Here is a 26,683-nt window from a genome sequence, read left to right as displayed (position 1 = left end):
ACCATCCCACTAAATACTATGTGATCCTGGACTTGGAGACAGAAAAGGCAGCCAGTTAAAATATGCATTTTTTTAAAATGTCAATTCAAGATAGTATATTAACATAATCCCCAGATGGAGGCATTAGCATTTGTGCTCCTCACATTGCCTGGAAAAACTTGCTGGCATGTCTAAAAATCAAAAATATTATTACTACCTGAGGTGGCAGGGAGCCCTCCGAGGAATATGAAGAAGTAAGAGGAAAGGTGAAGGGAGGGCTTCGGTGCCACCGCTGATGGCAGGAAGGTGGGGCAGGAAGGGGCTGGAGCAAAGGGATGTTGCTTGGATTATTTCCTCATCAAAAAATCCACGGGCAATGGTCAAATTCTTGGCAGGAAGAAGTGTACTAGTCAAGGACTTCCGAGTGAAGGTCTCAATAGTGAGCAAGGGATGTGTGTTCTGATTCATGCCCTGCTCTTAAATTGCTGGGTGTAATCTCTGGGGAAGTCCTTTCACCTCTCTAGTCCTCAATTTTCCTTGTACTTAAATGTTAGATAATTTAAAGGTTAAATAATCCTCAGGGTTCCTGTGCTTCTAGCTCTGATGTTCTCTGTGCAGCCTGACATGGCTCCCTTGAGACACCATGACAACTCCTGAAGCAGTGGCTCATGGAAGGGACATTTGACATAGGCTCTCCCACCTTAGCCCATCCATTGCTTGTTGCTGGCACTTTGTATCTAAAGCTTAACTCTGACTTTCCAGTCTCAATCTTGGCTTTTCCAGCAAGAATTCTGGCTTTCCTGGTGCCAGACCTCTTGAATAACCACCTCCCAGGACCCTCTGTCCCCCAAACTGCTGGATTCCTCTGCCCTACTGTGAGCCACAGACCCTATTCCATAAGGTACATCAAGTGACAGATGTTTTAAAGGTCACCGGAAATCCAAGTTAGAAGAGAGATGGTTTGTGTTCACCCCTCCCACTGCAGCAATCCACTCCCACTGTAGCAATCCACACAGCCTGTCTTTTAGGCTAAAAGGCAGTGGGAAAGATTACAATTTGAAAAATAGATTAGGGCTCATCTGTGGAGGGATTTTGTACATTTGGAGAACAAGTCAGGTGAGGAACTTGCAGCAGATGCTTTCAGTGCTCTGTCCCATATCACCTCCATGTACTCTATTCCTGCTGTCAGGCACTTCCTGAGAATAGTGACTTTCTGCCCAAGAACATCTGCCAGCCATGGAAACACTCTGGGTGTAAGCACTGAGCAGGCCAAAACTCCTGGGATGGCAACACTCCAAGAGTAGCTCTCAACCAACAATAAATAGGAATGAGCCCAGCTTCCTCCCCAACCCTGCAGTGTGGTTTTCACCATCTCTCAGAGGTCCCCTGCAGGGCTAAGCCCCAGTCATCCATAGCAGGAACTGGCTCCAAATATATGCTATATTGGTTGTCTTCCCTTCCCCACCTCATTTCTGCACTCCTTTCCTAGGTCTTCCTGAAGTCACCTTCAAATGTACCATTGCCCTTAAATTCTAGCCCCTGGAGGGATCCAATCTCAGACAGAAGTGGTGTATGCTCTGCCACCCACTTGGAGATTCACAATGCACATTGGCATAATAAAGCCTCTGATAAGTTCTGTAAGAAATAAACATCTTTAACCCTAGCTAGCCCAGCGTTTTCTAACCTATTAGACCACAGCATCTTGTTTTCTTCCTTTAAGCATCTCATAGAAGTAGTATTTTGGGGACAATACTTAGCAAAATGCTATGCAAGGAATCAGATGTGAGTGGAGTCAAAGCTTCCTTTAGAAAGGCCCAGCAGCAGGCGGCTGTCCCGTGTAGGAACAATAACTGTTAGAAATGTTAGCTACGTTCCACTTCTGTATGGGTGCTTTAGAACAGGACTGTCATAGCAGTCCTGTGATGGTAGATAGAGACAGGATTATTACACTTTCTTTACAAATGAGGAAACTGAGGCTCAGAGAGATTAAGAAACTTGCCCAAGGTTGTACAGCTGGTAAAGGCAGGTTTGGGACTCCTAACTCCACATCCCTTTTTGCAATGAATTTCCTATTTAGCAGCAGGACTGGGAATAGAATCCATGTGCTGTTACCCTAGTCCAGACTTTCTCCATCTATCCCAACAATGAGGGTCAGCCCTAGCCTCCTGAGGGTTCCGTGGGTGAGCAATGGTCATATGAGCTCAAGGGGAAATGAAAGGAAAGTGGAGAAGCCATGGGTTATGCATACTCTTTAAGTATTTTGCCCCTTCTTCAGACTCAGATACCACTGACAACTTTAATTCTTTCTTCTCATCTTTCCCCAACTCACACACACACAAATCACATCACTTTAGCTATCACTGGTTTGCAAGGGCTTCCAGAAGAAGTTTTCCACGACATGGGTCAGCTGGGTTCAGCTTACACAAAACACATGCACACAGAAGAGACTTGATTCATGCACATACATTCATAGATATCCAAGCATGTATGCACTCAGATATTCAAGCATGCATGTGCATACCTGTGTTCATATAACATTCTATACACTTTATTGTCATTACTTGTTTTATTGTGTGTATTTTTCTAGACCTCTGGACCGTATAACCCATAAGTGTAAGAGCTGAAACCTTCTCTATCTTGAGAACACCAGAGGCAAGCACAGTGTCTGGTGCTCAGTAAATATGTGTGGAATAAATGGATGAATCAACACACAAATGTGCAAATTGCACTTTTATATATAGCAAACAATAGTGCACACAGACACATCCACACCCCCAGTACATGTATGCAAACACACGTGCACACGGGAACACATGCACAAGCACACAGATTCCCTATGCTCTATCAGAGCCCAAGGTCAGGACATGAACATTACGCCCACTGACATGAATCTCTTGGATGGGATCCAGAGAGCCCCCAGCAGCCATTACTTTGCTACCCGTCTATCTGCCCCATTTATAGTTGAAATAAAATGTGTCACGGCTGCCTCACTGGAGACCAATGTAGACATGGAGGGAAATGGAGAAATATTGGCCCAGCTTGCATTCCAGCTCACTGGCTTGGAGGAGCTTAAGGCATAAATGAGTTTGGACTTAATTGACTTTTTTATTGGGCTTTAATTCACTAGTACTTTTCCAAAGGCTGACTCCAACAGGCAGAGGCAGGGTTGAGCAGTCTCTAGGATTGCCAGCCCCCCTTGCCTCTCCCCCTGCTCCCTTAGACCCGTTCTAAACCCCTTCTCTACACAGGGCCTCCCTTGTCAACATGGTGACATGAGGAAGTCAGTGTCGGAGCCTGTCTCCTCCTGCCTGGCTCCATCTTTGCCCCTTCCCAACCTCTTGTCATACCTCTCATTCCATTCAATACAGTAACATTGATTGAGAGTTCGCTACATGCCCTCACAGGGCAGTGGGATACAGAGATGAACAAGAGCAAATTTTTGCCCTCTGGGAGCCTGGAGTCAAATGGAGAGATGGACACATAAATTCCACCCTATAATAGATACCAAAAATTAATCCGGGAACAAGACCCAGAGAGGCAGAGTAAGGCACAGTGATTCAAGTAAGGCTGCCCAGATGGGATGCTTCCACTTCCTCTTGAAGAGGGGAAAGTATTTTCTAGGCAGGGTATTCCTGGAAAGGGTATTCCAGGCAGGCAGAAGAGCAGTGGCAAAGGCATGGAGGGATGAGACAGCGGGGCATGTTCCGGGCACTTTCCTGAGGTCCTGGGCAGCTGGGGTGGAAGAAGGATGAGCAGGACGTTCATGAGGGCAGCAGGGCTAAGCGGAATGAACTTCATCCTGGAAGTCAGAAAACCCACATTCCAGTCCCATTTTACCACTTATTAGCATATGACTGGGCAAGTCACCTTTCTTCTCCGAGTCACAGTGTCTTCATCTATAATGTGAAGAGTTTGAACTCACTGAGCTCAAAGACCCCCTCTCACCTCCAGGGCCTTCTCATCTTTCTTGTGGTAATATTTCTCTGCTATCCTAAGTCTCTGACTTAGTTGATGCTGGTTTGAGTTTCTCTGAAGGAAGCCAGCCACAGAAAGCCCAGTACAGAACTTATTAGAGTCTGAGAATGCCAGTCTTGTGGAGCAACCTTTGGGGCAGGGGCTATGATGGAGTTCCCCTTCTCAGAGCTCTGCTCCTGACACCACAAGCCATGGGAGCCCTCCCCAGCCAAGTGGGAGAGCAAGGCCAGCCCGGGGACAACCCAGGTTGAGGGCTCTCTACTCAGGCAGGACAACCAGTGCTGCGTTTCAATGCTTACCATCCAGAATTATCCAGGCTCTGGAAGTGTTTGAAAGGATGAGCTTCAGCAAGCTGGGAAACTTTCTTGTTTTGCCATATAAATGAAACATGACTGAAAGTAAGAACAGGCTCTGAGGAACTTTAAATCCTCACACAAATATAAATAACTCCTTTTTAGTATAAGGGGACTACATCCCAGTTTGCCCGGGACAGTGTCAGGTTTTGCCTCCCATCTGGCATAATACTGAGTGGGCTCCTTGCTTTCACTCTCCAAAGTGTCCTCCTTGGGGCAATCAATGTTGCCATCCCTCTGCTCTGTAAGCTTTTGGAGGGCAGGTATTACAGCAGGGGAGCAGAGAGCACTGGTGAAAAGGAACGGGCTTTGGTAGCACACTGACCTCGGTGTGAATCCCAGCTCTACCTTGGACAACTGACTTAACCTTTCTGAGCTTGGCTTTCTTATATGTAAAATGGGGATGGTAACATCTGCCACACCAAGTCACTTAGAGAAATAAACAAGGTTTTGCACTTGCATATGTAATATTACTTGCTCAATATCTTCCCCCTCACCTTCTGTGTCTTTGGCCTCTCCATAACCCTCAGTGCTGGGCATGTAGGAGATTGGATGTTGAGTGCATGAGTGAAGGAGTCCCTCAATCAAGCACAGAGGCAGAAGCTGCGGTCCTTTCTCTGCACCTCAGACTCTGTTCTGTCAAGTGAGCTGAGGCATAATTCCCAGACTGTCTTTTGTGGGTTGACGATTTGATCCCTTTTCCTGTGCCCTCCACCGCTAAGCCTTCACAAAGTCCTTGCATTGATGTCTCTCTGCCCTTCTTCTCTTTTACTTTTAACCTCCATTCAGCTTGTCATTTCCTCTATCCTTTTGATGGTAGTGATGGGGCAGGGTAGAAGGAGGAGGGACAGTGTTCATCATCACTCCAATGCCTCACCCGGGAGATCACCACGGACCTACCTTGCCGCTGCATTTCATAACTTCCCTATTTCTTGAACTGCCTCATGGCAGCAGTGTCATAAGTTTGGAGTCACACAGACTTAAAGTTTACAGATCTAAGATCGAATCCTTTGGGATAATCATTTGTTTATGGTAGAATATCTTGTAACTTCTGAGAGTCTAAGTTTCCCATCCCTAAAATAGGCATAATAACATGTAAGGCAACTCTGGGGATTACATACATAACTGCATAAGCTGTCTGGCCTAACATCTGGCCTTTACCCAGCCTTCAGTTCCCCATAATCTGGCTCAATCCACCTTTACCATCTTCAGTCCACCTTTCCCATCCCATCCAGTACTTCCTCCACAGCCTCCCCTGCAATTCCGCCAGCACGCTCACTGCTCCCAGAGCACCCCTCGCATTCACTCAAGCCCTGCCTCTGCGCCTCTGCCAACGCTGTGCCCTCTGCTCATGCTGTGCCCTCTTCCCTTCCCCACCTTTGGTGTCCTGAAATGCTCCTTCTCCATCAAACCTCACTGAAAATCTCACCTCTTCCATGAGCCTTTTCTGATCGCTCAGGTGAGAGCTGATCGCTCAGCCCAACTCTGTCTCTCCCCGTGTTTAACTGATTCCTCCATTTACCATGCATTTCTTTCTGCTGTTGTTTATTGTAGCCGTTTGCTTACACACTTTACCCTCAGAAGAGACTATACAATCCTTGAGGGTAGAAACCATTTATTGTTCATCTGTCTATATAAACGACCTCAAAAACTTTGAGAAACAAGGTAGGACATGAGCAAGTAAAATTAAAATTCAGCTCATGATTTCTAGTTCCATCCCCAGAATGGACTGAGCCAACACAAAGTTATCTCCCACTCCATGCACATAGAAAAGCAGGACGTAACAATTTTTAAAATTTTGAAGGCAGAGCCAAGCTCTACAAAAAGGGAAACTCCAAGGGCCAGACATGAGACAGCCCTGGAACCAAGATGCCTGCATAAAGCCAGGACCCAGGAATAGCTGCCTTTTCATTAAACTGGTCTGGAAAACTTCACCTACCTACCCAGGAAATTGGACTCTACCAGAGGCTCTAGGTCGCAAGTGTGCATGAGCGCACATGCATCTGTATGTACGTGCATGCATGTGTGTGAGTCTGTGTGTGTGTGCTCTGTGCTTGGTTCACATAAAATGCCCTGAATGCCTACTGTGTGCAGACCTTGAACTGGACACGGGGGACCTGAAAACAACTGGCCCCCAGCCACCTCACTCTGCTTGAATGTTAGAATGTGTGTTCCAGGAGGACAGGGACCCTTGGGGACCTACTCACTGCCATTCTAAACACTTAACCGGTTTTATTTCTTAACATCATGACAGCCTTTGTAAGATGGAGGGTAATACCAGGAAGAACTGAAGCAAGGGAAATTCACTAACTACCCAGTTTGGGGGCAGAACCATCATTCAAAGACAGGCGATTTGGCTCACATTGCATAAGTTTAAATGTTACAGTACATAACCTTGAGCCACATAGTATGTGTGCCAAAATATTTGTTGAATGAAAACCTGAATAGGTGGCTGGAAGGAGGTCACAGAGCATTTCAGAAAGCTGTGGCCCAGGTCAGGCTAGGCAGACCCAGTGCAGGTAGCATTGATGGTGCCCAGCATCCAGGCCAGCTCTCCATAAAGGGAACCCATTTTAAATAAAATGAACTCCCCTGGCCTCTTGATGCTTGGGAGATGGTTTTCTCCTGTCTCAGGATGATTGTATCTGGCCCCATTTCCTCTGAGGCTACTCTTGATTTTTTTTCCCCTCCCCACTGTGTGTCTGGCTCTAATTCCCTTCTCGGGTCCCATTTGGTGGTTACCACTTATGTTCTAAAACGCACCATTAGGCGTGTGATGTATGGCGTGTTCAGCGGGGCAGCCACACTGGTAGCCTGAGCCGGCCAGGGAAATGAAGAGGCCTCTGCCTGCCAACAATGGCCACTCATGGTCCTCTTGGAGAGGACAGGCCGCCCCAGAGAGAATGACCTCCTCCAGCCTCACAGGACTCCCAGGAGCATGAAGCACCTGTCCTCACACATAGCTCATGCATCTGTCTGTTTACCCTGCACGCAGCTGTTAGACACCCTTGGTGTGACAGGAGCTGCAGAGAGAGGGATGAAAAAGATGCCTTGCCTGTCCTTGTGGGATTCACTGTGTGGACTGGCTCAGGGGCTAGGATAGGGTCACAAGCCAAGGCCTCCAAGGCTGTAGCTGAGTGATTCTGGGGGTCGTGGGGGTAGCTGTGGCAGACTGTCCTAGCAATATGAACACACAGCTTTCCAGCATCATGCAGTTTTATGAGAGAGGGGAGGGATCCAGGGCATGGAGAGCCCCAGCAATTACTCCTAAAAATTGCTTGGGATTCCTCTAGAAACCTAAAATTTTATCAATAGAAGGGTCTATGTAGATTTTTTTCCTCCTGCTTAAGCCATGCAGACACTCATCCCTTAGCCATCCCAGAAATATGAGCCTCCAGTGGTAGCTGGCGTTTGAAGCAGGTCTTCAAGTCCTATCCCGTTCTGCCCATTGGATCCTGTCTTTGCATGGGCTCGTCTCCCCTTTGTAAATAATAATAACCACAATAAGCATAGTAGGCTCTATGCCAGGTGCCCACATTCATTTAATTCTCCAACAACCCTGTAAGGTAATCCTATCTTCCACTTTACAGATGAAAACACTGAGGCTCATAGAGTTTGAGTCCCTTGCTCAGGTTCACACACACAGCTGATAAGCAGTGGCATGTGGATCTGAACCCCAAATCTCATGTTGTCACTGGCTCAGACTGTGTTCCAAATCTGTGATTCCTCATTCTGACTTGGATTCCCATCTCGCTCCACTCCCCTCTCCGCAGGCTTAGGGCCCTTAGATGTCTGCCCTGACTCCACCTTCAGCACCTCCTGTGATCTGGAATGAGGAGCTCGGGCTCCAGTTCATGGCTCTGGAGAATCCAGGTCTCTTCTAGACTCCAGCCAAGTCCCCCCCTCCAGGAGGAAAAAGTGAGGATCCAGGCCAAGGTTATCCGCTTAGTCCCCTGCTCTTGACAATATCCTCCAATATCCCAGACTCTTGGGGGGTTGGGGAGTTGAGGAGCATGCAGATAGCATTTGCATAAATACTTCTAGTGACAGGGAGCTCACTACCTTCCAATGTAGCCCATTCAACTGACAATCAAAATTGTTTGTGGTTGCTTCATCTTCATTTAATAATTAGCGTGTATGTGTTTTGGTATGAAAAATATTTAAACATATACAAGCTAGATCGAATAGTTTAATGAACCCCTTGTACCTATCACCCAAGTCCTACAATATTAACATTTTGCCATTCTTGTTTCCTCTGTACCTATGCCCACTTCTATCCTTTACCTGAAGATGAGGAGGGGGAGGAAGGGGAGCAGGAAAAGAAGGAGGAGAAAAAGAGGAGAATTTAACGTCGCTTTTTTGTTGTTGCAAAAATTCATGTACATTGACCTGCACAAACCTTACCTGTATTGTTTTGGGAAATTTTTGTGCTGAACCCCTATTAACCTCAGTAGAGAAGGCACCAGGTTCAAGAGGCTAAAGAAGACACCCAGAGCCCACAGATGAGACACGGGGTTTTACTAGGGGCTTACATACGGAGAGAGTTCAGTGTGTGACGGGCTATACAGGAAAACTGCCTTACATACAGAAACAGCCCAGTGGTGGGAGGCTGGGCAACTGATCTGCCTTATGAACAGCCCAGTGGCCGCCGCTGTTCAGCCGCCCAGTGGCGGGCTGGGCAGGAAAACCACGACCATTTGCAAACAGCATGCAGTTTACATAGCATTTTCACTTAACACCCTCCCACTAATGACCTCCACCTAACAACCTCCATCTAACCCAAAGCTCAGGTCCCCAATCCCCTGTATGGCCCATGTCCCACAGGACAGGACAGGGGCTCAGGTGTTCCTCATAGACAAGGAATGAGTCTCCAGGTTGGCCATTCCTGAATTCTCTAGCTCAGAACACACATTCAGATGCATCTGCCATACAGGGTCATCCTCAGGGCATGCCTAAGTTATTGTTCCCAGGTATGTTTACCCTACACAAAGGGATACACCTTTGTAACCCACACCATTATTATGACAGAATATGTGCATCTCCCAAGAAAGGTTATTGTTGGACACTTTAGTTGTTATTTTATTTCTCTATGTCCAACCCAAATCCTAGAACTATTCTCCATGGCAGTACAAGAAAGAATATGTCTGTTCTTTTTTCCAAATGATATTCCTTCAAATATTTGCAGATAGCAGGCGTGATTCTCTCTAAATCGGCTATTTTCTATTCTAAATACCCCTAGTTCCTGCAGCCATTTCTTTTTTTGTTTTCAGAAGACAGAGAATTGACTGTCAACATTAATAGAAGGAGACCTGATTTCCTCTTTACCAAACCTCTTCCCAGCTACATCCCACTTGGGCCTTGAGGACAGGAAGGGGTTTGCCGTGAGAGGTGTTGCCCACCTGCCAAATTTTCTACTTTCTGGGATGCTGGCTCTATAGGGCAGGGCCACACAGGTGTACTCACTTTACATAGCCTCTGAACAGCTGAGCTGTGTCCAGATTTATCTTTCTTTATAAACCAAATTGCAGCATTATCTCTTTCATGCATTCTTTTTTAATTCAATCATTCAACAAATTTCTACTGAGTGCCTATGCTAAGCTAAGCTGTGTCTAGAGTACTTGGATAAATAAGAAACAGTCCCACTCTTTAGGGATGGAGCAAAGAGAGAAAAATATATGGACGTATTCACTGATTCAGCATTTGTTGCACACTCACTGTGTCCCTGGAATAAGGGCAGATACTGGAATTATGGAAGTATGGTGACTACTATGGCCACCTTTGAAAAACTAAGGCACTCATGCATTCACCGACTGTGAGTGTTGGTAGCTGACATTGCTTCACTCTGGAAATTCCAAGCCTGGGAATTGCCCTCTAAATTAGAGAGGCACCTCACCCACAGTTCCGTCCTTTCCCCAGGGGTACCCCAAATCCAATGGGGATACAAATTCTGGCACCTTGCCTCAATCCAGGACAGCTCTGAAGGGCCACCCCCACTCCAAAACTCCCCACAGGTCAGCTGAGGCCTCTGTTACAACTACATGGAAATTCAACTTCTCCTGCCAACTTCCCTCCTGCATGGGTGTGATCGGTGGGTGTGGAGCCCAAGGACACTGCCCAGTAAACCTCTTGCATGCAAGTCTCCATCCCCATTCTGCTTCCCAGTGAGCCCAGGAAGTGAGCAAAAGCAAGATAGCCTAGAGCTTATAGTCTAGTGTGGAGAGACAAGCATCAATCAGCTGAACACACAAATATGCAGCAATTGGGGCTTGAAGGAAAAGTATGTGGTACCAAGAAAAGGGCTCCCTTCATCAGACTTGACCTTGGTTTGGAAGAGCCAGCTGAGATTTGAAGTTCAAGTAGGAGTGAGCAGACTGTCCAGTGTGACAGGATGGAGGGGAGCACAGGGTGCTGGCAAAGCCCCAGGAGGGCATGTCAGCCATTCCGAGCAGTGGGTAGGTTGTCAGGGAAGGCTTTCTGGAGGAAGTATTCCCTAGCTGGAGTATGAAGTATGAGTAAGAGTTAACTCAATGAAGGCAGGGACATGTTCTGAGCATAGATGTCAGCATGTCTGAAAGCACAGAGTTATGAAGTAGGATGGTGTCTTTGGAGAAAGGCAGGGCTGGGCAGAGCTGACTCATGTAGTGCAGGAGAGAAGAGGCTAGAAGGAATTGGGTGGGGCCCAGGTCTTGTGATTTCTCAACAATATGCCAGCCCAAAACCAAGAAGTTTGCAGCCTTGCAGAGGTTTAAGCAGGGGCGTTTGCTTTTGAAAAACATCTCCCTGACTGCCATGTGGAAAATGAATGGAGGAGGAAGGGAGTGGGGTGGGAGACTCTGTAGGAGGCTGTGGCAGTTAACCAGGTAAGAGATGAGCAGCTCACTCGGTTGCAGGCTGAAGGTAGGCAGGACTGAGAGGAGGAAACTAACTAGAGCGACATTTTCAAAACAGAACCAAGACTTAAACCTGTAGAAAGCCACAACGCTGTCTCCCTCAATTCTCTGGCTTTGAGAAAAAGAGTTGTGAAACTTCAGTTGAATTTGGGGGTAGAGCAAAGACTCATATCATTAATTGGCAGCACCACCAGACCACCCTGAAGAGTCTCAAGGCGTCCCTCTGCCATGTCTAGGACGGAATTGGTACTCAAGAGGTTTCACATGCTGGTTTGCACTTTGTCTAATTTATATTCAGGCACAATGGAACATGCTCAAGTGCAAATCTTAGGTATTGTTCCATTGCTGAGAAATATTTTTTCTTGCTGTCCCCCATTCTGCATCCTGGGAGGCAGAGTTCCCAGGGCTTCTTAATCAGACAGACCAGGGTCGAGATCCCACGTCTGCCCCTGACTTGCTGCATGACGTTGAGAGAGTTGTTTAGCCTCTCATGGATTCTGCCACCGCTTCTCTAGCAACAAGAGTAATGGTAGGGTTGCGGCCGGGAGCGGTGGCTCACGCCTGTAATCCCAGCACTTTGGGAGGCCGAGGCGGGTGGATCATGAGGTCAGGAGATCGAGACCATCCTGGCTAACAAGGTGAAACCCCGTCTCTACTAAAAATACAAAAAAAATTAGCCGGGCGCGGTGGCGGGCGCCTGTAGTCCCAGCTACTCGGGAGGCTGAGGCAGGAGAATGGCGTGAACCCGGGAAGCAGAGCTTGCAGTGAGCCGAGATTGCGCCACTGCAGTCCGCAGTCCCGCCTGGGCGACAGAGCGAGACTCCGTCTCAAAAAAAAAAAAAAAAAAAAAAGAGTAATGGTAGGGTTGCTGGGAGGTTCGCCTGACATGTGGCATAAGTCTCAATTATCCTTCTGGAAAAGATTTGCAGCAGTCTTGCTCTGTCACCAGGCTGGAGTGCAGTGGTGCAATCTTGGCTCACGGCAACCTCCATCTCCCCGGTTCAAGCGATTCTCCTGCCTCAGCCTCCTAAGTAGCTGGGACTACTGGTGCACACCACCACATCCAGCTAATTTTTTGTATTTTTAGTGGAGATGGGATCTCGCCATCTTGTCCAGGCTGGTCTTGAACTCCTGACCCTAAGTGATCTCCCCACCTCAGCCTCCCAAAGTGCTGGGATTATAGGCGTGAGCCATGCCTGGCTAGAACTGACATTTGATCCTTCAGACAACCCCTCAGAACTCATGGTCTCCCTGGCAACTCTGTGAGGCAGGTGTGGCCAGGCCATTCGACACATGAAAAAGTAGAGTCACAGAGACCAAAGTGGAGGAGACTGGACTTCGTTTCCATGTAACCCTGAGAAGGATTATTATCCACATTCTTCAGATGAGGAAACAGGTCAGAGAAAACAAGTAACTGACCCAAGGTCACATGACTCAGGCCCCATAGAACTGGGCTTCACACTTGGATCCATCTCAGTAAAAAAGCCTGTGCTCTTTCTCTCTTCCTGCTTGCACTTCACGAGTCCGTGATGCCTCTGCAAGTAACTCACCTTCCCTGAACCCCAATTTCCTCATCTGTAAATGGGACAATAGTGTCTATTTTGCAAGTTTGTTGTGAGAACAAGTTGTCACTCCCTTTCATCACATCTGTCTCTCCTCCTGTTTTCATCTGACTTTGTCCTGAGCAGGAGCTGGACTAAGACGCAAAATTTAAGGAGGCACCCACACTCAGGTTAATGCAAGTGCAACCCCCGAAATAATTGCTTCCTTAAATTTCATGCCCTAGGTCTTCATTTGCCCCATCCTAGTCCTGGTCCTGTTCCAGGGATCTAGAGGGGAGGTAGGGGTGTGAAGAGGACAGGAAAGATAAGGCTGTAGGGTGAACTGATGTGAAAGCAGTAGCAGAAAACAGGCCCTTGAATGCCCACAGCTCGACAAGAACAATAGGCTGGAACAGGTGGACCTTGCTTTATGCAATTACGCTGAAGAGTTGCATTCTGTAAGTTAATGTGCATGAATCCATGATGATATTACAGCTGCTTTATCTCCCTGATGATCTTAAGCTATTTTATCTTCATTTCTTATAGCTCATGAACTACCTGAGGTTGGTGTCCATGTCTTATTTATCTTTGTATTCCCAGGACCTAGCACGGTGTTTGACATGTAATAGTTGCTCATTAGATGTTGAATGAACTAAAAATGTTTTGTCTTTCATTGTGAAAGCCTCTAATCATCTTAGGTCCTTTGATATTTAGTTCATAATTCAAGGAACTGTGGCACAATGAAAACCACACTCCCCTGGGATTCTAGTCTCCCAGGATGAGACAGTAAGGCATGAGGATACTGAATAAATATTAGCCCAACTTAAAAAGCTAGTAAGTGGCAAACTCATGCTTTGATTCCAAAGCCTATGCTCTCTCTTCTATGGTACAGGGGCCAAGTCTAAGAAATATTTGTCAAATATGCAAGATACCACCTCTGCCTCTGTCACTCATGAGTCCCTTCTACCCAAGCCCTCAAGTTGTGACCCTCATATTGCCCTGTGGCAAGGGTCCCCAACCCCCAGGCCACAGACTGTTACCAACCCAGCTTGTTGGGAACTGGGCCACAGAGCAGGAGGTCAGCGGCGGGCAAGCCAGCCAAGCTTCATCTGTGTTTACAGCCACTCCCCATTGCTTGCATTACTGCCTGACTCAGCCTCCTCTCAGATCAGTAGCAGCATTAGATTCTCACAGGAGCGTGAACCCTATTGTGAACTGTGCATGTGAGGGATCTAGGTTGTGCCCCCCTTAAGAGAATCTAATACCTGATGATCTGTCACTGTCTCCCATCACCCCCAGATAGGACTGTCTAGTTGCAGGAAAACAAACTCAGGGCTCCCACTGATTCTACATTATGGTGAGTTACCTAATTATTTCTTTATATTTTAAAATGTAATAATAATAGAAATAAAGTGCACAACAAATGTCATGTGCTTGAATCATCCCGAAACCATCGCCCCCTTCTCCCCAGTCCATGTAAAAATTGTCTCCCATGAAACCAGTCCCTGGTGCCAAAAAGGTTGGGGACCACTGCCCTGTGGCACCTGCTCAAACCCTTCCCCACTTTCAGGCATTGCTTTTTACTACAGAGACACTGGCACCACCAGTAGCACTCATATGCTTCTGGTGCAAAAATGGCAAATAGTGTTTATCTAACTTGCCAACTCCAAAGGACCCATAGTGGCAGCCAAAATTATTGGGCTGAAAACAATTGTGAGTCCCAGAGGGAAAGAGCATTGTGATCAATCAATTATGTCTGTTACAGATCTAGAAAGGAGAGTGGCATCATGCATGCTGTGTATCTCCCAGCCAGGCCCTAATTTCACATGTCAGGAAAGCAATCTGATTAAACTATAGAAAACTCTCTGCATTTGTGAATCTGTGATGGCTTTGAACACTCATAATGTAAGCTTTGCTACTAAAATTCCATGATACTCAATCTCCAAGACCAGCTGTGGGGAAAACTAGCAGACAATGACATTCTCCGAGCAGTTCCTGGAAAAGCTGAAATATGACTTTAATAAGAAAACATGAACTCAGTAAGAATGTGGTATGAGGATTTTAGTGCCATATGGGTCGTTACCTATTTGACCTTTTCTTGATCAGCTTTTAGAATCAGCCTGCCTTGGGATTGTTTTCTGCCCTGCCATTAATGGAAACATGTGCTTTTCTTCTGTAAACATCATAAACTATCATTTGGTTTCCACTGGTGCATCGCTTTCAATGCAGCCCTGTAGAATAACGCAAAATTAACCAGGAACACAACACAACACACTTCTGATCCCCTCTTCTTCCTTCTCCCATTCCACACCTGCACGAAAGAAGGGATATTCCCAGCAGGTGTGTAATGAGGCAGGTGCAAGGAGTGACATGTGTCTGATCTCAGGGTTGTTCATCCAGGCATAAAGCACACTCACAGCAGTAGGAATTAGCCCACCCAAGCCCATGGGATAGGAGCTGGGAAGGCGCGGGGAAAGCGAAGTTCACCTGAGCAGAAATAGCCAGTCAGAGTAATGCAGAGTTTTGCAAGAATGCCCAAGAAACGTTCCAGAAGGGATCTGGGCACAGCCACAGGAAAACCAAGCAGGCAGGTATTCCCGTAAATTCAGCATGCAGCAGTTAGAAGCAAGAATAGGGTTGTAATCACAAGATTAGGCAAGCAACTGTTTAAAAAAAAAGCTTTTAATGGCAACCACCATTCTACTATCTCTGAGTTCAATTTTTTTAGATTCCACATATATAAGTGAGATCATGTGGTATTTCTCTTTCTGTGCCTGGCGTATTTCACTTAGCATAATGTCTTATTTATCTAGATTTATCTATGTTGTTGCAAATGACAGAACTGCCTTCTTTTTAAAGGCTGAATAGTATTTCATTGCGTATCTATACCACCTTTTAAAGTTCATGTACCCATTGATGGGTGCTCTGGTTGTTTCAGAATCTTGGCTATTGTAAATAGTGCTTCAAGGAAAGTGGGAGTGCAGACATCTCTTCAGCATATTGATTTTAATTCCTTTAGCTATAAACCCAAAAGTGGGATTACTGGATCATATGGTAATTCTATTTTTGGTTTTTTGAGGACATGCCATACTGTTTTCTGAAATGAGTGTACTAATTTACATTCCCACCAACAGTGTACACATGTTCCCTTTTCTCTACGTCTTCACCAATACTTGTTATCTTTCATCTTTTCGGTAGTGGCCACTGTAACAGATGAGAGGTGATATCTCCTTGTGGCTTTAATTTGCATGTCTCCGATGATTTGTGATGTTGGGCATTTTTTATATATCTGTTGGTCATTTGTACTGCTGGTTACCAGAGGCTGGGGCAGTGCAGGGGGATGGACAGGGAATGGGGAGATGTTGATCAAAGGGTGCAAAGTTTCAGTTAGACAGGAGGAACGAGTCCTGGTATTCTGTTGCACAGCATGGTGACTATAGTTAATAAGAGTGTATATTTCAAACTTGCTAAAAGAGGGGATTTCAAATGTTCTCCATTTAGAATATTTAAACTACAAAGACATGATAAGTATGTGAGGTAGTAGAAATGTTAATTAGCCTGATTTGATCATTGCACAATGTATACATGTATTGAAACATCATGTTATACCTCATAAATGCGTCAATTAAAAAACAAAACCAAAAAACATCAAATATTAAAAAGAAACTTCTAACAGGAACCATGAGCCCAGAAATCACATCCTATAGGAGCTCAGATATCAGAGTTCAGGTGCAGAATCCCTATTAATAATAATATTATTAGCTAGTTTTATCAAGTGAGTACCCTCTGCTAGGCACTTCAAATCCATCATGTCATGGGTGATCGAACGTAGACTAAGATGTGCTCCACCGAACGTGGCAGCCTCGGAGCCACATCCCAGAGTGTCTGGGCTGCTGTACCGTGAGCACCCCTGACTCCAGTCTGCTGTGCCTGGGAACTGGAACAGGAAGGGCTGCAGGAAGCATGCCAGTAGGGTTGGAAATAGGCAGTAGGGACAACAGAGATGGGAATGGGAGCAGACTGTGGATGGTTTGTGGCCACACATTCTCCCTCACTCTTTCCTGGGTTCTTGCCCTCCTAAAAGCAGGGAACTCCTCCTGGGTTCTGCTTCCTACATCTGGTGGCAGCCAAGTGGGTGCTCATCACAGTCAGCCTTGGCTCACTACAAATGTGCTTCCTCTTATTTAATCTACTTGTCTTGGCCGTATGCTCCTAGGTGTGGTCTGGTGATGTGTTGGCAGTGGGCAGATCAGAGAGCCAGCCTTGGGGAGATCTCTGAGGCTGACAGGTTCTCTTGGGGAGAATCAAATGCTAACTCCTCTCAGTCACTGCATCTCTGTCTTAATAATTATCCACTCTGTGAAAGCTAAGCTCCATTATTCATTGTGCACAGTGCCTGGCATGTAGTAGGTATGCAGCCAGCATAATCTGACTCCACGGTCAGTGTTCTTCTACAGTTCTGCCCGCCTCTTAGTAGAGCCCATAGTTGTCTACCTGAGGGTGTGAGGTTCCAGTGTGGAAGACAGCTGGAATGATGAGCAGATAGGCAGGGCTCAGCAGGTAGCCAGAAGCATGGACTGGCACCACTGGCCTTTCTGAAAGCATTAGCATGGCCCTGCTAAGACAAGGAGCCAGTCTAGGGGATCTGTCTCAACCTGCTAAATACCACTGCTGTCGCCACCACTGTCCCTAGGGGAAATTTCACAACACTTCTCCATGCCCCGAAAACCACCATCCCCCCATCACTGCCCACCAGGCAGCTTCCTTCTGTGCACTCCCACAGTGCCTGGCACCACCCAGTACCTGTCTGCAGGCCACCCTCCCCACTGGGTGATTCCTAAAGGGTGGCTCATGTCTGTATCCCCAAGGCCTGATGTGGTTCCTGGAATACAAGAGGTGTTCTAGAGATGCTCACTAAGTAAATGAACAAGAGATCCACAGGCATGGTCCCGGATGGAACAACATCTGAGATTCAACATCCACAGCCAAATAGCAACTCTCTTCCTCCCTAGCTCCTGCAGGGCTTATGCACGATCCAAGCCATAAGCAGGAATACTCCCTGCCTGGGCGGAGCCTTTTTGTTTTTCTACAGAGAACTTTCAGGCCCATTATACCCCTTTTGATCTTTACAACAGCTCCACTGGAAGGTATTCTTACCAGCATTGCTGAGATGCACGTTCAAGAACCAAAAAGATGAAGAACCAAAAAGATACCCAAATCAGTGGCAGAGCCAGGATTTGAAACCAGGGCTGCCTGGTCCCCAATTCCATATTAGCTTTTTTTCCTTCACCCAAACCTCCCATTAAGTGCCTTCTGTACACCAGCTACCAGGCCAGGCCCTGGGAACACAGAGATGAAAATGACACAACCCCTACTATCTACAGGAGACAGACAGTAGAGACCTCAGAAGAAAGAGCAAGCAACCTGTCATTGTGTCCCATTTGAAATTTCCATCAAACCCAGAAATGCCTGTCAACCTTCTTCCCCCAACCAGCCAAGCTGTGGTCCAACATGAAAGGCTCTGGTTTCCCCACCTTCCACTTCATCATCTCAAGTCAGACCAAATTTGGGATTCTCAGATGAGTTGTCAGGAGGGATGCAGCAGCAGAGGCCCAGCATCTTGAATGCCTTTCCAGGTGAACGACTGCAGTGCCTTCAGCCTTCCCCTCTGCCTCTGTGTCATCTGCCAGGAGAACACATTTGTCCACACAATTGAAGGAGAACACTAAGATTTGCCTGTTGTTCCCCTTCGTGTTGTTTTCCCAACCAACAGACAGATTTGCAGGCGCTTGATGCTCTTTTTCCTGCATAGCATTCACACATCTCTTCCTGCACGGTCTGAAGCTCTCTGGACAGCTGCCCAGCAGAAAAGGCCCCGGCTGTGCTTCAGTCTTGGAAGCAGGAGACTAGAAGGTCTCTGCCAGTTAGTGAAAGCAGCACAGGAAATGTCACATCACAGCAGATGGGCCCCAGGGCATGGAGAAGGGGGTCACGTTACCATATCATACATTCAAATAATGCTAAACCTTATTCCAGCAACCCCTACATAAGAAGGGAAAAATCAGGCAAACTACTCTTTAGCTGTAGGACCTTGGGCTAGGTATGCAGCCTCTCAGAGCCTCAGTCTTCTCGCTGTAAGCTGGGAAGAATAACATCTACTTCCAAGAGCTTTGTGAGCCTTAACAGACGGAGCGTTCAAAGCAATCAGCACAGTGCCCACTCATGCTCCACATGATTGCTTATCCTTCCCTTTCTCCCCAGAAAAAGTAGCCTCTAAGGAGAATGACATTAATGATGTCCTGAAAAACATGTGGCCTCCTGATTGGGAAGGGCAAAGGGGCTGCATTGCGGTCACATTCGCCTCATCTCCTTTATTTTCAGAAACAGCACCTGCCACATGGAGATGCTTACATGAGTGTTTATTGAAATCACTTTTTTAAACTCATTGTGAGAAAAAGCACAGCCATGCAGCACTTCTTAGAACATGATAGGTGGTCAAAAAATTCCTGTTTCAGGAACAGGTGAATGAGCAAGCAGGTTTTTTAATAAGATCCAGTCTTTACCTTCAAAGAGCTAACCATCTACAGCAGCTTCCTTGCTAATAAATCCCTCTGGCTTCATTTAATTGACAAGCTCCTTAATTGCAACTTCAGAAAACAAGAGCCAGGTTCATTTTGTTTACTGGAAGCCTGGTAACCCATTTGACAGACTTTCTCACTTCCCAATTGTGTGAAATGTATTTGAGGAGTTTGAAAGAGAAAAACAAAACAAAACTAAATGGCTAGCTTTAACAAGCATATTATTTTGAAAACAGTCTAATGAGAAATTTCAGTAGCTCACTGAGAAGAAAGCGGAATTGACTCAGGGAAGAGAAAAAACAGCTAAGTTTTAGAGGCATTTTGGAGCAGTGCAATTTCATTTCCTTCACGTGTAATAAGCAAGAAGAGATGAGAAACCCATCACCCAGAAGAAGCCCTAAAGGTCAGGATTAATGAATAGGTTAGAAGGTTTGATGCTTGCAGGACCAGCTGTGTGCTGGTAAGTGGATGTTTCAACAGTCCTTAAGGGGGCTTATACATAATTTATTTTCTTAAGTAGGTACACAGCGTAGAAATGTTGTTTGCACTATTAATTGGACCAGAAAACCGTGTCTTCATGGGTATTAGCTACTCCTAACTCCTCTCAGTAAGGGCTCCACTTTGCATTTCCCAAACTCTGTAAGGCGGAATACCCCAGCAGATCACACCAAGCCCAGAGGCTGGCATCTAGGCTTGGCAGCAGCTGCCAATCTTACTCTTATGCCTGGATGCAATGCTCCAGGAAAAGGATCCTAGCCATTATTTCCAAGCCCTGGCATGTGCAAACAGAAGGCTTCGAGGAAAAGCAGAGGTTCAAGACATGAAGCCCAGGTCAGATCTCTACTCTCCCTCCAGATTAGCTGCGTGACCTGGGACAAGTCATTTCACCCCTCTGAACCTTAGACTCCCCAGGTGCAAAATAAGAAGTTTGGAGGCGAAGATTTTTGGTGTCTGGCACTTTGCTCGGGTTCCTCTGACTCTGAGATGTGCCTCCCCCACTACCAGGTGGGAGAGCTCTAATGTCAGCAAAGCACCAGCCTCACTAGTCTGCCAGGAACAAAGTAGGCTGGGAGAGGGGTAAGGATATGAGCCGTGGCTATGAGGGATGGGGTCAAAGAGTATAGACTTTGGAATTAGGCCAAGAGTGATTTCACCCTGGCTCCTCCAGCTCTGTGACCTGGCTCAGCCTTTCTGTGCCTCAGTTTCCTTATCTGTAAAATGGGGATGATAATATTATCTTCACAGAGCTGTTGCAAAAGTTAACGATAGCAGATATAAAGTGGCTAGCACTGAAGGCACTCCAGGGAGGGCAGCAAAGCCAGCCTGTGATTTCAGAGCTACTTGAAGAGTTACTGGAGGACCAATGAGACTCTCTCCTTATTCTACACTTTATTCTATGTTTATCTGATTTAGAATGTGTCAACTTCAGATTGGTGGTATCCACTGTATCAATAGCTAGTTACAATTCAGCTGCTGGAACTCATATGTAGATTTTCAAAGTGGGCTGTGTGCATGGAAGCATCTCCCTTTCTACAGAACTCCTTGGCCCCCAGGAATCCCATTGGCTACCCTGGGCTTCCAGCAGCAGGCTTAACATCATCAGAGAATAGACAAGCAGGGGCATGTGGCTGTTTTCTTCCCCTCTAACTACTTTAAGATGAGCTTGGTATTGTGTGGACATAAGCAGAGAGCACAGGAACCCCCAAACCCCCATTTTTCAATTAATCTCTGACCCCGTCTTCATAACTTAAATAACTCATCTCTCTTCTGCCGAAAAGCAGACACATAGTACTTCCTTCGAGTATAGAAGTAAAGATGTCCATTATGTAACCTCCCAAACAAATCTACTACATGGCATGATTACCTTGCCCAGTTTGCAAAAGAGAACACTGGAATTGAGAATGACCACAGACTTGACTAGCTGTCAGTGAGCTGCCTTTAGCCTACTGTCCCTTCCTTTCAATGTCTCTGATGGGAAGGTCTCACCCATGAGTCTCAGCTCTGCTACCCCTTGGCACTGTGGCCTTAAGCAGCCTCAGATTCTCCATTTCTGGATGTGAATATAAAATGCCTCTACTTCCGGGTGGTTGGGACAATAATCAAGAATGAGGAGGGCCAGGTGCAGTGGCTCATGCCTGTAATCCCAGCACTTTGGGAGGCTGAGGCAGATGGATCCCTTGAGGTCAGGAGTTTGAGACCAGCCTGGCCAACATGGTGAAACCTTGTCTCTACTAAAAATACAAACATTAGGCGGGCATGGTGGTGCATGCCCGTAATCCCAGCTACTACTCAGGAGGCTCAGGCAAGAGAATCGCTCGACCCCAGGAGGCAGAGGTTGTAGTGAGCCGAGATCATGCCACTGAACTCCAGCCTGGGTGACAAAGTGAGACTCTGTCTCAAAAAAAAAGAAGAAGAGGAAGAAGAATGAGGAATGAGGTCAGGCACTGTGGCTCATGCCTGTAATCCCACTGCTTTAGGAAGCCAAGGTGGGATGATTGCTTGAGCCCAGGAGTTCAAGACCATCCTGGGCAACATAGTGAAACCCTCATCTCCACAAAGAAAATGTTTAAAATTAGCCAGACATGGTGGTGAGCACCTGTAGTCCTAGCTACTCAAGAGGCTGAGGTGAGAGGATTGCTTGAGCCCAGGAGTTTGAGATTACAGTGAGTTGTGATCGTGCCACTGCATTCCAGCCTGGGTGACAAAGCAAGGCCCTGTCTCAAAAAAAAAAAAATTATATAAAACTATGACTGTGCCAATCTGGGGTCAGCACAAAGTAGAAGCTAAGGAATTGTTAGTTTCCTTTCCTCCATCTTCAAAGGGCCATTGAGAAAGTTGAAGTTCTATGTATATGCAATCTCAATCTCTAAACAGTAACACACTGTGCAAGCATTAGGAATGAAAATGATAGTTGTGGGACTTATTTTTATCTCAGGAGCCCCCACCCCCCACCATTCCTGGAGATCCAGGTTTGAAACATGCATCTTTCTTAATTCATAATTAATTCTTACAGACCAATCCAACTAAGTGCAATTCTAGACTCTCAGCAACCCGGCAAATGCAGCCCTGCCATCCACAGTGGGCCTGTCAGCACTTACCAGGAAAGCAGAGAAATGCCTGGCAGAATAGCAGGTCTGAAGAAGCAGTGAGCTCAACCTGACAGTCTGGACTTAAATAAATTATATTTTCTGGCTGGGGGCGATAAGGCATAAATTTGAAGCGTGTGTTCTTACACGTCATGGTGCCCCAAAATGCAGAAAGAGCTGCATCTTGTTCCAAGTTTGTAGCAAAATTGCGCTGTGTGTAAATAGCTCTCTGGCTTTTGATGTTTAGCAGAGAGGAAAATAATCCTCTGAAAAAAGCCAGGCAGGAGCGGGAGGCTCAGCAGCCCAGGCGGAGAGACCAGCAAAGGCATGCAGCCAGGGAGCGGGCGTTTCGCTTTCCGTGAGCCTCTCCGCCAGCACCTAGGAAGGTAAACTGTCCCCAGTCATCTTAGTTCCTAAAAGGATTATTTCCTCTAATGCCTTCATGGAGATGCAAGCAAAAACGCTTAGGTCCAATTAGGTGGGAAGTGAGAAGGCTCCAGCAGAGAATGGGAGGGAAGGGGAGCTGGGCAAGATGTCAGCATGAGCTCCAGCCAGAACGAAGTGAGGCCAGCCAACACAGAAAGGGCATTTCCTGGAGGTGCACAAGGAAATGTGTGGCAGCAGCACCTTGACTCTCATTCATTCATTCATTCACTCATTCATTCAATAAAACAGACACAGTTCCTGCCCTCTCGAAGGTGACAGTCTGGTAGAAAACACATCCAACAAATAATCATGTAAATAACCATCCAGTTACACACTTTGATAGACACTATAATGGAAAAATATAAGGGATGTGAGGTTGTAAAACAAGAAGTCCCGATATGAATGAAGGCTGAGAGCCTGGAGAAGCCAAGCACCTCTCTGAGAAAGTGGCTTTCAAGCTGAGGCCTGATCAGGAGGAGCTGGCCAGGCAAAGCGCGCCAGAACATTCTAGGCAGAGAACACTCTAGGCATGCGGAAATGCCTGGCGGGGAAGAGCTTGCTGCACATCCTGGGGACTGAAGAGGCCAGTATGTTTGAAGCCTGTGAGAGCAGGGAGAAAGTGTGTCAGGGGCTCAACCATACAGGGCCCCAGTGGGGACTGGGGGCTTCATCCTAAATGCAACAGGAAGTCACACAAGGATTTTAGGCCTCTGCTGGTGGTCTTGACTTGATAAAAAATTTAGCTGTCATAGATTGTCACTTGGCCACCTCTCTGATTTGGCTTCAGTCTCCCTCTGGCTCCCCACCCCTGCTACTCTGGTGACCGCCACCCTTGACCAAGCTCTAAGCTATGTCAGCTCACACCTGGCACGTTTGTGAACTTGCCCCAGCACACTGCCCCCAGAAGAAGGAGCAGGAAAGATTACATTGACACCAAGGGCAGCTGCAGGAGCTGCTACCTGGGCTAGGATGGGTACCAGCCCTAGCAAGGAGGCAGTCAAGGATGGGGAACAAGTCTCTACTCACTCCCACTATAAAGACCTCTCTGCTCCCTCTTTGACAGGGAAAGCCTTCAATTCATGAGGCTTCCATTCCCACTGTATCTGCTCAAAGCAGACACTCAGTCAATGATCAATTGAAGTTCAGAGATGGGGGGATCTTAGCACCCCGCTAGACCCTCCACCTCTTTTTGTAAGTGGAAAAACTGAGAGAGGCTGGTATAAAGGAAGGAAAGGGTCCCAGTTGGACACTTTCTTGCTGTGTAACCTTTAGCAAGTCATTTCCTCTCTCCTGGGACTCTGTTTCCTAATATGTAAAGTAAGGTGGATTAACAAGATGATCTCTAAGACCCTTTTCAATTCTTACACCTTGTCATCATCTTCAGTTGCTTAGGGAGGGTCAACACCTTCACCAATGGCACTGGGCATGCTTTGGCAGGGCCAAGATCACAGCTGATTTCAGGAGTCCACACTACTCTCTAACCCCAGCCCAGTATTCTGAAGTTCAGGGACTAAAAGGTGAAGGAGTTGGAATTTGCAATAATCTGATGCTAAGCTGAAATTTACTTTTGCTTGCAAATCCCTTCATACAGATAGGCAAATTAATATTTTAAGCAATTTTGAAGAGACAGAGAGGATATTTAGAGTGTCTACAAAGAAAAGCTCTATTGGAGCACCCCAGAATTCACTCCAGGTGTGTTCAATGCCTTGCAATGGATGTGCTTATGAAATGCTCTTATCTGTTCATTACAGTGATCCCCAAGAACACGTCTCCATGGGATAAGTTCATTTGCCAAGTTCAATTGCTATATGCAATAGTTATGAAAAAACTTGGTTCTTTGAAAAAGCATATTTGCTTTGGACTTTGCATTAATTCCAGCTGTTCTCCTCTGCCATGAAGCTGAAAGAATAGGAATTGGCTGTCCTGAAATAGTGCAGCTGGCCAGGGACTCAGAGCTGTTTCGTATAGTGAGGAAAAACATAGATGTTTCACTACCCCTTCCTACAGGTCTTCAAGGCGAGCAGTAGAGCTTGTACTTTTTTGCAGTCCCCATAATCCTTGCACATAGTAGGAATATATGCATATGAATATTGATGGACTGATGAGAAAAGCAAGGCAGAAAGGAGCAGTATGTGGCTAGGAAGTGTCCCAATGACGAAAACCCTCATGTCCCTCCCAGGACAGCACAGCAGAAAGGGCACATGTGTTAGAATCAGACAGATGTAGATTTGAATCTCAGTTTTTCTGCTACTAGCTGTGTGACCTTAGGCAAGTCACTTAACCTCTCTGGGCCTTGGTTTCCTCCTCCGCACAATAGGTAAAGCAATAACTGCCAACGGTCACAGTTGTAAGAGTTAAATGAGATAACAGATAAGCATCTAGCACAGTTCCTGGCACAGGGTAGAAGCCCCTCTTCCTTTCTTCTAACTAGCCGTAAAGATTTACATAAGAAAGGCAGCCTGCAACAGTCACCTCTGTTATTTACTTGCCTGTGCACTGAAAGCTGGGAAGCCAAAGAGCCTCCCTGTGGCCTCCATGCTGTAGGATGGGACAGTGCAGTGGAGCATGCTCAGGAAAGTGGCCCAGACCCAAATCTCTGTGGCTGCAGGAATCCAATACAGTCAGCCTGGCTCTCTTCCAGCCAATTTTGCCAGATGTAATTTGGCTTCAGCTCGAGGTTTGAAAGCAGTTATATAATCATCATAACCCGTAGCATTTGTAGAAAGCTTTTGCAGTTTTAAAGCACTTTTGCATGCATTACCTCATTTGATCCTCTCAATAACCTTGAGAGGTAGCAAAGCCAAAGACCAGAACCCCCATTTTATAGATGGAGACATTGAGGCTGCGAGGTTTTATTTGGTTCACTTAAAGTCACACTACTAAGAAGTGGCAATGTCAAAACTTGGACAAAGATCTCTGCATTCCTTTCCCTGGGCTTTTTCTACACCATCACGGGGCCTCTTTGTAATCATACTTTCATCAAGCAAAAGTTGACTGAGCCCTATTGTGTGCCAGCAATGTACTAAGCATGAGTAAGCAGACGTAGTCACTGAGCCCCTGGAGTCTACCTTCCAGTGGATGCTGCTGGACTCAGGCGGGAAGCAGCACAGTGAAAGGCAGGAGGAATAGGTGGAGGGCATTGCAAAAGACTGGGTGTGGCAGGTCTGAATTCTAGCCTAAAGAGCGTAGGGATCTCTAATGGGTTTTCAGCACAGGATTAATGTGATAGGGTTTGCATTCCAGAATGACTCACAGTTACCTTAGAGGATGGGCTGGAGAAGGTCATCTGGAATCCTGAAGTCCAGCTAGGAAACCAGAGTGATGCAGTCAAAAAACGCTTGGGTCCTAAATTTCAGCAGTAAGGAAGACAAAAGGCTAAATTCAGGACAGATGTAGAGAGGTTATTGATAGGCTCTGCTGCCTGATTGGTCCTCTGGGTCAGGAGTGGGCAGCAACTCTGAGGGCCTGACTTGAACCCCTTGGCAGATGGCGATGCTGTTCCCTGGGACAGAAGTGCAAGAGAATTGTCCAATGGGGTGGGGAAGCTAAGGAAGATCAGTTCCCTCTGGACAAGCTGAGTGCCCAGGGTCTGCTTGAAGCACATCTCAAAGGTATGCTTATAAGACAATGAGTGAAACTAGTGTGTCTGGAGGCCAGAAGAGAGCCCAGGGCTGGAGGTGTGGACTGAAGGGTCAGGAGTTTACAGATGACATTTAATGCCTGGAAGTGAACAGGACCTCCCAGAGGTAGTGCTCAGAGGAAGAAGAGACCAGATCCTACTGCAACAAACCCCAAAGGGCATCCAGATTTGCTCTTTGATGCCAAAATTTCACTTGGTACAAGTCAGGCCCACAG

General features: G+C 46.6%; 1 protein-coding gene and 1 long non-coding RNA gene across 4 annotated transcripts in view, besides 1 other annotated feature; one reads left to right on the top strand and one right to left on the bottom strand.

Annotated features, from left to right (window-relative positions):
- Positions 1 to 26,683, top strand: part of ASIC2 (acid sensing ion channel subunit 2) — a 1,143,682-nt gene that overhangs the window by 1,017,864 nt on the left and 99,135 nt on the right. The gene's annotated exons all lie outside the window — the stretch shown is intronic.
- ASIC2-AS2 (ASIC2 antisense RNA 2) overlaps positions 1 to 26,683 on the bottom strand; it is a 40,225-nt gene that overhangs the window by 13,326 nt on the left and 216 nt on the right. For both annotated transcript variants that reach the window (XR_934686.3, XR_001752836.2), the window contains exon 2: positions 26,088 to 26,173. This is a non-coding gene — a long non-coding RNA (ASIC2 antisense RNA 2). The remainder of the gene's footprint in view (positions 1 to 26,087; positions 26,174 to 26,683) is intronic.
- Positions 25,462 to 26,661: an enhancer, noted in NCBI's record as "CDK7 strongly-dependent group 2 enhancer chr17:31439262-31440461 (GRCh37/hg19 assembly coordinates)". NCBI's record gives its function as "activates an origin of replication core promoter dependent on BRD2, BRD4, P300/CBP, MED14 and CDK7 cofactors, with strong dependence on CDK7, by STARR-seq in HCT116 cells {active_cell/tissue: HCT116}" and the evidence as "EXISTENCE:reporter gene assay evidence [ECO:0000049][PMID:35650434]".

The sequence above is a fragment of the Homo sapiens genome, chromosome 17, assembly GCF_000001405.40.
Source record: "Homo sapiens chromosome 17, GRCh38.p14 Primary Assembly".
Classification (NCBI taxonomy): Eukaryota; Metazoa; Chordata; class Mammalia; order Primates; family Hominidae; genus Homo; species Homo sapiens.
This window is presented reverse-complemented; position numbering and strand designations above follow the sequence as displayed.